Here is a 15,106-nt window from a genome sequence, read left to right on the forward strand (position 1 = left end):
GATATCTCAGTTTGATGTCTCAACAGTTATTTTTAAGCACTATCCTTCCATTTTGGGGTAGCCTTGCAGGAATGTGCTCAGATTTTTAACTTAGAAAGCAAGCTGACCCATGATCCCATGCCAAAAGCATGACTCAGTCAGGTATAGCCAAGCCACACCATAATTATAATTTCAAAAGTAAAGAAAGGAGAAAAAGGTGTAAAATATAAATAGCTGTCTGTGTTAGTTTGGTATTATTTTACATAATTTTTTTGAATCTCTCTCTCTCTCTTTTTTTTTTTTTTTTTTTTTTGGCAGAGTCTCACTTTGTCACTCAGGGGCTGGTATGCAGTGGCATGATCTCAGCTCACTGCACCCTTGACCTCCTGGATTCAAGCGATCTTTCTACATTAACCTCAAAAGTAGTTGGGAGTACAGGCAGGCACCACCATGCCCAGCTAATTTTTGTATTTTTAGTACAGTCAGGATTTCACTATGTTGCTCAGGCTGGTCTCGAACTCCTTGCCTCAAGTAATCTGTCCACCATAGCCTCCCAAAGTGTTAGGATTACAGGTGTGAGCCATTGCACTTGGCCTTTTTCTTTTGAATCTCAAAAGAATTTTTTTTTTCAGATTGCAGAAGTAATATAGTTACACTGGAAAAATGGAGAAGTATAAAAATATAACAGAGCAAACAATAATACCTATAATTTGTCACCCTGAGATAATTACTCTTAATTATTTTTTCAATATATATTTCATGTTTTTTCATGTGTATTTTTCTAAATGTATCATATTTGAGATTAATCATTTTTAAAAGGTTTGTGAAGTAAAAGCCATTAGAGTCAGGAAGTGAGCTAGTTGATATTAAATTGGTGAGATCTTGGATGCACTATGTTATAAATTTTACAATGGTCCGGTCAAATCTCTGGAGTGGCTTTTTGTCCAGATCACTTGAAAACTAGTGTAGAAAGTAACATATGTTTAAATGTGCTCTATTTTAGTTAAATAATTCTGCTTTTTCAAGGTTGTGCATCTCAACTGTTGCAAATTATATTAGGCGAAAAATTGGTTCCTAGCCCAGACCAACAGTTTTTTTGAGGAAAAAATATACAAACAGAATGAATTATTTTATGGCTTTTAGATTAACAAATGATCAATGTTCGAGGCATTTTAAAGTATTTTGAAAAGAAATGAGAGAAAAAATAATTTAGGATCTTCCCCTACCTACACCCAAGAACAACCTTGGAAATCTTTTTTAATCTAGTTACATACAGAACTAAAATGTATTTTGATGTTTTATTAAACACATCACATATAATTGATCCATGAACTAATGTATATAGCAGTACTCTTCTTCAGTTTTATTCAAATTTCCATTTCTATTCCCTCAAATTGTCTGTTTTTTAAAATGTCTGCCGTTTTTTAATGGCTGAAGCAAATGTTTTGAAATTTTCTGAGAAAAAAATACTTAAAATTACATAAATTAAACTTTATTCTTGGATTTTCTTCCATCTCATTGAGAGCAATAATGATTTTCCCCTTGCAATTTCAATAGAAGATACTTTCTGTCTTTCCTTCCTTTTAATATTAACACTCTCATCATTATTCTGAATCAAATTATAAGATTATTTTCTCATCATCACTACATCCTGTCATGATCTCTGTCTCCTGGACTGTTTTGATCTGCATTGTAACCTGTTGGGAGATTGATCCCCACCTCAAAGTAAAAGCATACTTGACAAAAATATAATTTTTTGTGCTATCTGACTTGCATTCAGTCTTTTGACTTTTGTTGATAAACTCTTTGATATCACAAGATTTCTTTTTTTAACTTCTAGCAATCTAATTTATATCTGACCCCTCTGCTAAAATTATTCTTCCTAAGGCTCTTAATGGCTCAATGGCCTCCTCCATGCCCACCATGACCATCTCAAGCTTCATATTTTTATTTTCTTATTTGACCTTTGATCAATCACTTTTTAGTGAAATTCTCTCCACTTATTTTCTGTGAGATATTAATTACTAGTTTTCTTTCACCATTTCTGAGTACTCTTCCTGTATGTTCCTAACTTTGGCTGTGCTCTCTCACTGTGTCTAGTCCTCACTGAGAGAACAGGGTAAAGGGAATCTGCTCTGGAGTCATACTTGAGCTCAATTCCTGGCACAACCCTTTACCAGGTAGATGTCCTTAGGAAAGTCACAACCTGTGGGCTCCATTTATTTATTTTAAACATAAAATAGCACCACCAAAGATAGGCAGTCCAGGGCTTGCATGGCTATATTACAGAAATTGAGATATCCAGGCAACTTTTGCCTCTAGGCTGTTTCATCTGTAAGGTCCTCAAGATCCTGGATGGATGTGGGAGCTTAATTTATCTCCATTTTCCTATAGAGGAAATAACAATAATATTTACCTTGGTATTTAGTGTAAGAAATTTTTTAAAGTGTGTTATTCACCACAACACCTAACACTGACTGGACCCTGAATAAATGTTAGCTATTTTCACTAGTGTGATGATGATTTGCCTGTTGACTAATTAATGATGGCAGGTAGCATATTTTAACCGTTAATTATTAATAAATCATGCTGTAAAGATACTTATACATATTTATAACCCAGTAGATTGGCTTCCTTAATGTTATTTCTTACCATACTCCTTTCTACTCTCACTATTTCCAATTTAAAACAACAACAAAAAAAGATGTTACTGGCAATAAAACTGGTGCTACCATTCTTGTAAATAATGTTCATGACCTCAAGAGTGACATATTCTTGGTTTTAATGTGTATTTTATGACACAAAAGCAGTGACACTACACCTGTGAGATAATTTCCAGTGAAGCTCTCGAGCTCTGAAAAGTGGCCAAGTAGAAATCTAATATGTCTACACAATAACCTAGCACAGCACCTGCATCATATTTAATGATGAATAAATATTTGTTGAATAAATGAATGAATGAATGATGTAGGAAACTCCAACTATATCAAATCAAAATCTTTAACAGCTATTTATTCAACCAATATTTATTAAGCACCTACTATGTGTCAAGCAGTATGTTAGAATCAGGTAATACCAAAGTGAACATAACAATATACCTGTCCTCATGATATGTACATTCTAGTGAGCAAAGATGGGCAAAAATCAAATGGGAAAGTATATAATACATCAGCTGTGATAGGTGCAATGGGCAACAACAGATCAGAGTAAGGGCAAAGGGCACTTTGGAAAGTGCTTGTATTGTGTATCAGCTATTTTATAACAAGTCACCTCGAATTTTAGTGGCTTAAAACAACAACCATTATTATTTGATTTAAATGTTATGGCGTAGCTATTAGGTTGAGCTCAGCCAGTTAGTTTCATCTGGTATAATTAAAGAGGCTGCCATCTGGAAGCTTAACTTGGGGCTGGTTAATTGCGTATAACCTCACTAACATGTCTAGTGGCTGGTGCCAGTCTCTCATCCTCAGTAGGGCTAGCCTGAGCTACCTCACATAATAAAGCACTTCAAGATGATAAGAGTGGACACCATTAAGACCTCTTGAGGCTTAGGCTAACAAGTCACACATCATTTCCACTGCCTTCTTTTGATCAATTCAAGTCACCATACATATATCCAGATTCAGAGGAGGAGGTAATAGACTCCGTCTCTTGATGGGAAGTGTTAAATATAATTTGTAGCCATTTTTTACCTACTACAGATGGGAAGTTACTGATGGATAGTCAGTGATAACATCTCTGATAGGATGACATAAAAGCAGAAGCCTACATAATGTGAGGAAACAGGTAATGTGAATATTTTTGAAGAGTGCATTCTGGGCCAAGGGAATAGCTAGCACAAAATGCCAAGAAAGGCCAATAAGGAGCTCAGAGCAGTTGGGAGTGGTGGGCGAATATATGTGTGTTAGGAGATGAATGTGGGAAGCCAATGAGAGACCAGATAGTATAATTCCTTGTAGACCATTGTAAGGACCATTATAAGTAGACCTTTGTCTTTTACTCTGAGTGAGATCAGAAAAACCATTGATAGTTTTCAAAGGAGTGACATGATTTTTAGTGGAGTTTACATAATTGTCGACAGGATCTCTCTGGATTTTTATTGAAGTTAAACTTGAGGGTAAATGGCGAGAAACACAATGAAGAGATTATCCCAGGCAAGAGATGATGGTGGCTTGAAATAGAAGGGTAGGACTGACAACATTTTCTGGGATAATTTGTAGAACTGATTAGGCAGAAAACATATTATTAGATTGTGTATAGTCATCTGTCAGCTTCTCTAAGAAACTAACTACATTTTGTTCATGTGTCTTCTACTTCATCTGGTATTTGAAAAGCACCCACTAAATACATATTGACTGGTTAGTAAAGATTCAAGCCTCACTGTTGAATTGAACATAATCACCACAGGATGCTGAAATCCTACAGAGTTCATCATTAAATGATGTTTGAAGACTGTAGCAAGTAGAAGACCCTATTAAGAGCTATTGATACTCTTCAGATTACATGTCTGCTATATGCTAAAGGACTGCAAATGAATTACGACAAAAACAATCTGTCTAGATCAAACTCAGTATTAAAAGTTATCCATTAAAAGGTAAAAGATCATTACATGGGCCGGGTGTGGTGGCTCACACCTGTAATCCCAGCACTTTGGGAGGCCAAGGCAGGTGGATCACCTGAGGTCAGGAGTTTGATACCAGGCTGGACAACATGGTGAAACCCTGTCTCTACTAAAAATACAAAAAATGAGCCGGGTGCAGTGGCATGTGCCTGTAATCCCAGCTACTCGGGAGGCTGAGGCAGGAGAATTGCTTGAACCCAGGAGGCGGAGGTTGCAGTGAGTCGAGATTGCACCACTGCATTCCAGCCTGGACAACAGAGCAAGACTCCATCTCAAAGAAAAAAGAAAAAATCATTACATGAGCTGAACATTTATTATTAAGACTAGTAAGTGAGAAACAGTGTCAGGGATTCAAAGTCGACATAATATAGTTCTCAAAAGCACTAGTATTCTCATATGGCATGTAGAGTGTTAATTTTATAAATGAAAGAAAGCAAGGTGAACGTATCAACTAATATTATGATGTTGAATGGAAAGCATTAACAGGTATAGAGGAGCATGGGGGAAGATCTAAGTTTAGAGAATTCCTGGAACTAGCTAATTTTTAGATAACAAATTAGAACCTTGTTGTTATGGTATGAAGAAACTGCTGTTAACTCCAGGCCCAACATAGTGGATGACAACTGTCCTTTCTGGTGATGGGAAAGTACCTGCTTCTAAATCTTATCCAAGTGAATGAAGTGCATATATATGTTTTATGTTGGTGTTACTCTTTTTATCATAAAATATGTGTTTACAATATTAGATCTTTAAATCTTCTTATAATTTCATAGGACATGTTCAGTACATTCTGTTTTAAAACAGATTACAATAAAAGTTTAGCATTAAAATTCACCTGGAAATGAAAAACCCAGCTTTGCTTCTCACTCTGTGACTTAAAACAAGTTTCTAAATTCACTAAACTTCACTTTCTTTATCTATAAAACTAAGTGTTTGGAAAAGATCAGTGGTTCTCAACCCTGACTGCACACTAAAATCATCTGAAGGACATTTGAAAAAGTAATATCCCAAGTCCTATCATAGGGTTTAATTTTCAATGCTCTTCAGGTAATTTTAATGTACATTCAGTGTTGAAAATCAATGGGCTAGATGATCACTAAAGTTACTTCTAGTAAAACTTCCTGATTTTATGATTCATTGTATTTTGACATAGTAACAGCTGCTGAAAAAACAATGTTCTCAATATTTGCAATGTCTTTTAAAGTAGAAATTAACGTCGAAGAGTGTTCTTGCTCAAAATTGAGAACATTTTCACATCTAGACTAAAAATCCTTCTATATTATGAGAATAATTTATACCAAAAGCCATATATACATCATCATTTGGGTAAGGCATATGCACCAAAAGTAATATAGATTTGCCTAAATTTTAGAAATTAACTATTATTATGATTTGGAAAGCAATTACTTTCTGTCAGTACACATACAATGTGAGGGTAGTGTAGTTAGAAATTCTGTGTAAATTTAAAAAAATGCTGCTACAGCTATTTTGATTTTGAATAAATGTATTCCTAATATCCCAAGAGTTAATAAAATTCCTAAAGTGTATAACTTATTCATAATAAATAATTTACATGCTGATTTATTATGAAGAGAATAAACAGTTTTATAGAAGACTGAAGTAGAATATCTAGTTTTATTGGTATTTGGAAAGATCAAAAGTATGATTTCTTGAAACAGTTTTGAAATGTGTCACTATGAATTTTTGCTATCAGTCTTTTTACTAAATAGCTTTTCATTGGAGTAAGCTGATAACTTTTCTCTTTAATTTTAAATGCCAGAAAATATAAACACATGTTTTAAAACTTCATGAAACCAAAAACTCAACCAAATACTCAGATCCAAAAAGAAACCATGTAGACTCCTAGGAAACCGGGGAAAGGCATCAAGTAAATATTAAGCTAGAAAGTAATAGACTTTGTGTCTTATATTTTCACATCATTCTGTGTTTTTGAATATGTACTTTTGAATACTTGGGACAGGAAGGCTCCTTCTGTTAGCCAGGCTAATATGGAGAAGAAGAAGAGGTACAGTTTACAGCTAACAGCTAACATGGGTGAATGTAGGTGTAGTCAACAAAGAATGGGTTGTATGGAATTTCTGCAAACATAGTTACATTTGAAAACCATTTGGGAAAAAAATGACTTAATGCCCAGATAGGACACTATGAAAAGTAAATATGTTATTTTCAGTATGATGTACATGCCTGCATCATCATTCTGTTTTTGCTTCTGATATCATCAGTTATTCTTATATCTTTAATTTTCATGTATATTTCACTGTTTTTGTTTACCCTATCGATAACAAACTAGACGCCATAATTAAGAATAATGCACAGATATACATTTATTATAGCATGCAAAACTGTGACATTGGAAGAATAATGTGACTGCTGGAATACTTCACATGTTCAGAAATCTTGCCCTGTGTAGAATGGAGAAGTTGTTTTGCTTCACATTTGCTCTGCCACATATCAATTTGCTTTACAAGGCCTCCCTGAAATCAATCAGACATGTGTACCATGCTTTCAAAGAATTTTTTACAGTAGGAATAAGCTATGAAAAGTTTGAAAATACAGACTACACATACTATATAGTTTGTAATAATAGTTATATGTATGCTAGTGAGTTAAAAAAAACTCTCATGAGTTTTATATGATTTAAAAGTACCAAGAGGTTTAATGAAACAATATAAATTTTATCATCAGAATGATATCACACATCTTACTTATCTCTTGGGAGTGATGAAATGCAGAACTTGGTGGTTACCCACCCCCCTCCTCACCTCTCAAGGTTTTCTCTCCTACTTACCTGCTCCAGATTCTGCTCTTCTTGTAGCAGATGCAGTATTGTGTTTTATATATCTTCTTTTAAATTTGGTAAAGCACATTAAGCTGTACTCACTCACTCAGATGCTATTGTATGTTAGTTTAATCAGATAAAGTCAGTGAGGGGAATATAGTTCTAAAGAATGATAAGGACAGAGGTGATGTAGCCTAGAGAAAGTGTGCATGAAAAGGGCCCCAGTGAGAGTAGAAGCATTTCATGCTTGGAGTGAGTGAAGGACTAAAACATGAACATCGGCGTTACTTACTTCCCAGTTTTGCCTGGGGCTCGGCCAGGTCAGCAATGCAATCATTGCACAAAGTAAAGTAAATGGACTCACATTTCTAAACATGTCATATAAAATTTACATGATCTTCAGAATCTAGCAACATGATATTGAATATAGACTTCATATGTAACAGTCAAAGTTTGTTGATGCTAACATCATCTTGAGTAATGAAGTCTGATTACATGGATATAAGTATATAACTTTGTCTCATAAGAGACTTTATTTACATAAAGATTTTTCTTGTTAAGATATTGAATTGATTTATTGGGCATAGCTGCATAACTGAAAAGTGTAAGTACTGGACTCCACTTGAAAGCATATGTACTGCATTAAAGTAAAGCTGCCATCCAGTATGAATAATGCAGATGTTATGTTTTAAAGCATGTCAGATTCTCTTAAGTGTATCTTTCTTCTTTAAATTTTGATCAGCTGAGATAAATGCTTTTCATTTGGCCTTAACTGTTTGTCACAGGAAGATAAGAGACAGAGAGCTAATGAAGTAAATTGATGTGCTGCTACAGTTAGGGAGAATTGGAGTTTAATACTGTTGCAGTTGATAATATAACTGCTTTTTTAAAAAATTGGCATGGTTGCATGACATTATGAGAAAGAAAAGAGACCTAACACATTCAAAAATGGCCAATACTTAGAAGTATTGGGGTAAAGTTAGGTAGAATTTTTATCTAACTCTCTTCGAATACAGTGCATTTTCTTCTTCAAAAAAGTTGTAATTAAGAGTATATTAAGTCATAAATATTAATGATATCAAATCATGAATATTAAAAATATATTGCTGGTAGATACCAAAAAAGGATGGTGTGAATTATATTCTGTAGCTCAACTTGGAAGTTCAACTGTCACAAAGAAACCTGTCTCATTGAAATCTCTCTGAAATTGCATGCATATTTAACCCAATAGCTTCAGGCATTCAGAGATGGAGGAAGCAAAATCAAAAGCACCATATCAAAATTAACATCAAGCCATGTGTTTTTCTCTTAGAGTTTTGAAGTAATTTTTAACACAGATAGTAACTTGGTTTGAAATTTAAACACACACACATACAGGTTTGCTAGCTGGATAATTTCCATGCCTGGGGGAGGGGAGGTGACAATTGGTGCATTCAGTACAGAACACGTGTAATGATAATAAAGTTGATTGGTTGAGCTCTATAGCATTTTTTTTTTTTCTTTTTCTCTCTTCCTGTAGTGTAGTTCTGCTGGGGGTGGAAGGGTTCTCCCCCATCCCCCCCACCACGAACAAGACGTAGGTTGATACCATTTTTATTGTTCTGCTGGGGTGGGAAATAAACCATATGCTTTAGCATTTTAAATGGCTACACCAAAGAGAAAATTGAACCAGGCTCTCTTCCCTACTCCTACTGGACTTTGGGGTGGGGTTATTCCTCTGAATGTTCTAGCGGACTTGGGGTTAGCTTAATGCTTCTGCCCCAGGGCAAAGAAGCAGTTGAGGGAAAGAAATGTCAAGGACGTCAGAGGCGAGCTGGACTGAGTGAAGTGTGGAGTAGGAAGCTTAGGTCTGAAACCCACCCCTCCCCTGGATACCAGGCAAAGGCAATGAGAGTCGGAACCAGCTGATGCCGCTGCTGCTGCTTCCCGTTTCCAGGGTGAAATTTTCACAGCAGCTATTCTAAAAGGAGGAAAAATCCCTAACCAGCAGCAGAGAAGATCCTATCACCCAATCCAAGCTATGTAACCTTTTAGTCAGGCTTTTCAAAGAAATCCGCATTTTAAAAGCCAGCATTTATGGTCCAAAATATGGGACGGGAATCAGAGCTGGTAGAAAAATATGAAAAGCCTCTTTACACCCTGAGTATTTGAAACAATCCGATGAGCATAGGAAGTGGCTGCCAACGCTCTGGCGGCTGCTCGTGCTGCCGCCGCTGCCGCTGCTGTTCCTCGCATAGGGCTGGACAGAGCTAGTCCCGGTTTCAGCACCTCCGGCGCTGGACAGCTCTCTGCACGCCGCACCGCCGCCTGCTTGCTTTTTCCCACTCTCGCTTTGCATTACTGGAGATGCATCTAAATTACATCCTGTTCAACAACAAGTAGATTTTTTTTTCCTGTACAGGAATTACAGTAGACGACTCTCTCAATTAAACTGCATTTTCTTCTTTACGGATTTGGCTATCAGGCGTATTTATCCCGATTTCCTCCCCCCTCACTCCCCTTTGCAGGAACGAGTCTTTGGGAACGTGGTCCACCCAGGGATGTAAAACTGTGCTTACCGATGCATCCCATACGAAATGCTTATGTGATCGTCTCTCTACCTTCGCCATTTTGGCTCAGCAACCTAGAGAAATAGTAAGTAACAAAGGGAAAACACGGCTTTAACGCAAAGACAGGGATATTGTGGCTAGTGTTTCTCCAGGGAACTGCATTTTAAATGGGGAAATGGAAAATGTTGCAGGGTACAAAATTGGGTTCGTCTCCTCCTTAGCTATAGTAGCTTGGTGGAATGAATTCTAGTTGGTATTCTATAACTAAATTCTACTCAATTTTATGTCTTCTAACTTGAAATTTCTGCAGTGTAGTTTCAAGGATGAAGTCCAATCATGTCACTAATATGCTGCAAACTTTCAAATAAAAATAATTGTCAACTTAACCTTTATTTTAAAGCTGGAAAGATATTCTGGGGAATTTTAGAGGGTATTGTTAGTAGTAGAATGAAGACCCCAGACACTATAGTGAAACACATTGCATATCTGCATTGGATATTTTCAGTACAGGTTTTCTGGAAGTGTCCTTGGATGTAAATATAAATAAATAAATATATATGTTAATCAAATGAAGTTTTTGTGAAAGCATGGCTGTCAGGAACTGTAAAATTATTCCTTAATAGTATATAGTTTTTCAAAAATAGTTTCTGAAAGAGACAGCTGTACATAACTGTCTGAAAGAAAAATAATATTCTCATCAATTGTATTTTGAGGAAATATAACTCAGAATGAATGCTGAACAATTATTATTCAGGTAAATGTGATATTCTGCCTACATTTGGCCTAAATAAGCATCACTCTTCTTACTAATTTTGATGACAAAAAACTAATACAATTTGATGTGCATATTTGAGGTTTTAGAACACGCTTAAAGTGTATTCCTTCAAACTCTCAATGTTAACAATGTGAAAACCAACAAATTTAATTAATTAACGTCATGTAAGTGTCCAAGGAAAGAAACCTTCCAGATCAGTGAATGCATGTAATCTTTACATATGTTTTAAAAGACAGAAAGCTTATTTTTCAAGGTCATGCATTTAGGGACTGATACTGGCATTGTCATAATTATCTCCACATATTTTGTTCATTGAAAAAAAATCACAAAATATACTTGAAGGTTTTAAATTTGACGTTTGATTTTCTTCTGTATCCTCAGAAGCCAAGCAAGTACAATTAAATGTGAGAATACTTGACTTAGAATAAAGTTGTCAAAAAGTCAGAAAGTTTGAAAAATCTTCAATATCTATATACCAGATATAGGTAACATAATGAGTTGTAAATAGTAGCATCTAGATAAATTTTACCAAGAATCATATTGTGAAATGACTAACCTGCAGTTAGTTAAAGAAAAATGAGTGATGCTTTAAATTTTAGGTAGAGAAAATTTAACATGTGAATGTTGACCAAGTTGTAGTTTTAAGGTCTTGATTTTCGAAAGTTATAAGGATGTAATATTCCATAGCCCACCATTTAAAACTCTAATGACTTTATTACTTCACAGTGGGAGAGAGGGGGAAGCTGCAATTAGTATTTTTAGAGGTTGAGAATGCAAGAACAGAGTGGATTCATGGGTAACTATCTGGTAACTATAACAACTATATAGGCTATTTTTGAGTGATAGGTTAGCTTTGCTGAGTCTAGAAGTTATTTTAATTTATTAAAAACCAATTTGTTTCTTTTTTGTTTTGTTTAATTCACAGATCATGGAATCCTCTGGCACACCTTCAGTTACCCTAATAGTAGGCAGTGGTCTTTCTTGCTTGGCCTTGATTACCCTAGCAGTTGTCTATGCAGCATTATGGAGGTAAGTAATCAATTGATAGACCTGAAATGCAATGCTTAGTTGTTCATAGTTAAATCAAGGAATGTGATAATTATTAAATGTCTCCTGTCTTCTTAATTTACTGAAAGCAGTATTTTTACAACAGAGTTATAATTGGTGTGATTGAGCTTTAATAAATGAATTATGTTTACCTAATTTTCCTGTATATTTGCCTGAGTTAAGAAAATAAACAGTACACACATAAACTTTTATTCTCATTTCAAATGTTAGTAGCCTTCAACAAGTTGCTTACCCCAAGCATAGTACTCTTACACCACAAGTTCAATCTATTTGTGGTTTCTATTTATCCCAATTGCTATGGAGGCTGTGAGTCTAACTGGTACAGTCAAATTAATTTATCTGTTATAAAAATATGATCTCAAGTACTTAAGTTTCAAACACATGCTTTCAGTATGTCCCAGACAACTAGTGAACCCTTCTATGCTATTGAAGCACTAACATAATACCAATATATTCCAGAAAATGCCTGTTGGTTGAGTGTGTCCAAGAAGTCAGACTTTGACAAATTGATTAAAAGAAGTCATAAAAATACATAAACAAGGGGAAGTTATTGAAAAATTTTTTTCTACAATAGTTGAAATCACATCTACTGATATATGAAAGCCTAGTATTTTTTAAGACTTGTTTTTGATTGTGTTACTAAGAATTAGACCTGTGAAGTTTATCGTCTACTCACATATTGATAAAATATATAGACATATGGCCAAAGTACTGGATTTTTCTAGTGGATTTTTAAATTTTTAAATGTTAAACATTTTTATATCCACTTTTATTATTGAAAAATAATCTAAATATTTTTAACTATATTAGTATATAGAAAATTACCTAATATTTTCAGAATGTTTGTAATATTAGAATTGCAAAAGTAGATATTTCTGCCTCAGAAATCTTAATCTTTATTCACTTAAGATAAAAAACATTCAGTTGAAAAATGAATTACAATTTTATTTAAAAAGACCATTTTACTTTGTTCTTTTAAGAAAATGTATTGTTCTTCATTATAATTTTTACTCTTTTGAGAGCAAGAATTAATTGTCACATATTTAAATTGTCAAAGTTATGAAGAGTTTTTATGCTTCATACAAAAGTAAAAATTATGTATCTCTTGACCCATTAGCACTGGTACATGACAGAAATCCTTCCTTCCGGTGAAGGAATTATCTAGTAGTGAGAGACACTGACAAAGTGGGACAATCTGATAAAATATGTCCAGCTCTAGGAAATGAAATAAATGCTTAGTTTAAACATGACATTGTAGGCAGCAGAATCTTGGGTTCAGGGCTCACTCAAGCAGACATTGTCTCAGTAATGCAAAAGCAAGAAGGATAAACATTTGAAAAGTAGACAACTTCCTCTACCACAATTGTTTAAATAACAGTTGTTCAAAAATTAGGCAGCATTTAAAGACTAGGAATTTGGTAATCACAATAGTAACATAATTCATGCTCACTGAAGTATTTAAAACTAAATTCCTTTTATCAGCATTTAGGGTTCAGGCACCAATTCCACCTTCTCTTTATCCCTCAATACATATCACTAACACTAGCATATACATTGTCAGGATAGGTGATGTGTACATTTAATCAAGGAAACATACAATTAATTAGTCCATAATAAAGTTTTCTTTAATGCAGAAAGTTCAAGAAAGTCACTACTACAATAGTTTTCTAAGAATTACCAAAACAATTCAAAGGATCTGTTAACACTTGAGATGAACTTGAGAATTACAGAAGAGAGTACCAAGAAACAACACAAATCTAAATCCCTAAAAGTTAGTGGTCATCAACTCATTCTCTACAAATAGAATTGAAATAATATTCATAGTTTGAAAGAAGTGACAAGACTCCATGAATTATTAAGTGAATCTTGATAACATGATGAATTAAATGCAGTTTATAAGCGCCTACAGAAACACCAATAGAAACTTCGAGAACTGAAATTTAAAGCCCCACACAATTGTGAAGTATTATCCTTGCTTACTAGAAGGATGCCATTATACATGTAGGGTATATATTGTGTACTGTATAATATTACTGTATGCTAATAAGCATGTTAGGTTCCTACCACCTTTTATTCTCAGTAAAAAGTTTAGAAATTTTGATTTCTAAGGAGTTGTAATGTGTACAAGCATCTCAAGTATTTTATACATAATAGGCTGTTTTTAAATTTGGTGGCGTTGCATGTAGTTCATCAGAAATGTTCACCAAAAATTTAATACATTAGGTTATATTCTCTTCACCTATAGATAAGTTTGGCAGAGTTACATTTTTACATGAAAAAATAATGAAGCATGTCCTTGTCATCACTGTATTAACATAAAGCATTCTTAAATTTTGTTTAAAAAATCTAACATGGTAAAGAAATTTGTGAAAATTGAGACATTTCATAGCAATTATGAAGGCAACAATAGGGCTCAGTTTTGATAAAAATAGAAACATATAAAAACTTCAGCCTAGTCAATTCTGGATATTTCATTATCATATTTTTGTCTATTTACAGAACAAAAAGTTTCACTAAAACCCTTTTCATAATGTCATCTGTGTGTTTGTGCTTCCATGGAAGCCATTAACATCAAACAAAGGGTTAATTTTATGAAGCCCCTTAACTTTTTATATTATATTCCCCACCCACAAAAAAGAGACAATTAATAGTTGATGATGTCTTCAGCATCTCAGTGTGTGGTTTATTATATTGTTTGCCACTGATGATACAGGAACAAGGTTCAGCAACCCTGAGGCCATTTTGTGTTAAGATTTGATCTAAGTTAGTCCCATTTGAGTTTGTTTTGTGACCAAAGGGAATTTCTTTTTATATTACAAAAACTCCTTTGTGTATTTTATTGTTATTCTTACTTTTGTGTTCTTTTTGGAAATGTGTGATAAAACGTGGGGGTTCTACCTTGATTGTCCTCAAAGACAGGGAGAGAGAGAGACAGACAGACAGAGAGAAGTTTGACAGATTTTTACCTTCCAGAGTGCCTCCAGATCATTGGCACTCCTGTCTAATGCTGCATAGAAAAGCTCATGCCTGCTGTGGAATGTGATTCCACGTTATAATACAAATTGAATGGGCCTAAACACACAGCAAATACAACAGTGTCTTTTTGTTACTGTCACTCAGTGATTTACCACAGAATGCAGTGAAGCAAAATAGCTGTTACTCTTTCAGGGTAAACAGCTGGTAGAACATTTGATTCTGAGCAGTTTTCTCTATGGCTTACATTCTTGGTGCACTTAACAACTATATAACAGACTGTATATAAACACTTCTTCATAAGGGTAAAATATGGCAGATGTCAAGTGATTTTCCAGCCT

General features: G+C 34.5%; 1 protein-coding gene across 1 annotated transcript in view, besides 2 other annotated features; it reads left to right on the top strand.

Moving 5' to 3' along the window:
- Positions 1-15,106, top strand: part of ADGRB3 (adhesion G protein-coupled receptor B3) — a 754,225-nt gene that overhangs the window by 588,101 nt on the left and 151,018 nt on the right. The window contains exons 18-19 of the mRNA NM_001704.3: positions 9,908-10,034; positions 11,650-11,753. Coding sequence (NP_001695.2) covers positions 9,908-10,034; positions 11,650-11,753 — 231 coding nt within the window. The remainder of the gene's footprint in view (positions 1-9,907; positions 10,035-11,649; positions 11,754-15,106) is intronic.
- Positions 9,515-9,809: a silencer, noted in NCBI's record as "tiled region #3236; HepG2 Repressive DNase matched - State 9:DNaseU, and K562 Repressive non-DNase unmatched - State 12:CtcfO". NCBI's record gives its function as "represses a minimal TATA promoter and a strong SV40 promoter by Sharpr-MPRA in HepG2 and K562 cells {active_cell/tissue: HepG2 | K562}" and the evidence as "EXISTENCE:reporter gene assay evidence [ECO:0000049][PMID:27701403]".
- Positions 9,642-9,807: a silencer, noted in NCBI's record as "fragment chr6:69942916-69943081 (GRCh37/hg19 assembly coordinates)". NCBI's record gives its function as "represses an EF-1alpha promoter that drives an FKBP-Casp9 reporter gene in an ReSE screen in HepG2 liver carcinoma cells {active_cell/tissue: HepG2}" and the evidence as "EXISTENCE:reporter gene assay evidence [ECO:0000049][PMID:32094911]".

This window comes from Homo sapiens, chromosome 6 (genome assembly GCF_000001405.40).
Source record: "Homo sapiens chromosome 6, GRCh38.p14 Primary Assembly".
In the NCBI taxonomy this organism is placed as follows: Eukaryota; Metazoa; Chordata; class Mammalia; order Primates; family Hominidae; genus Homo; species Homo sapiens.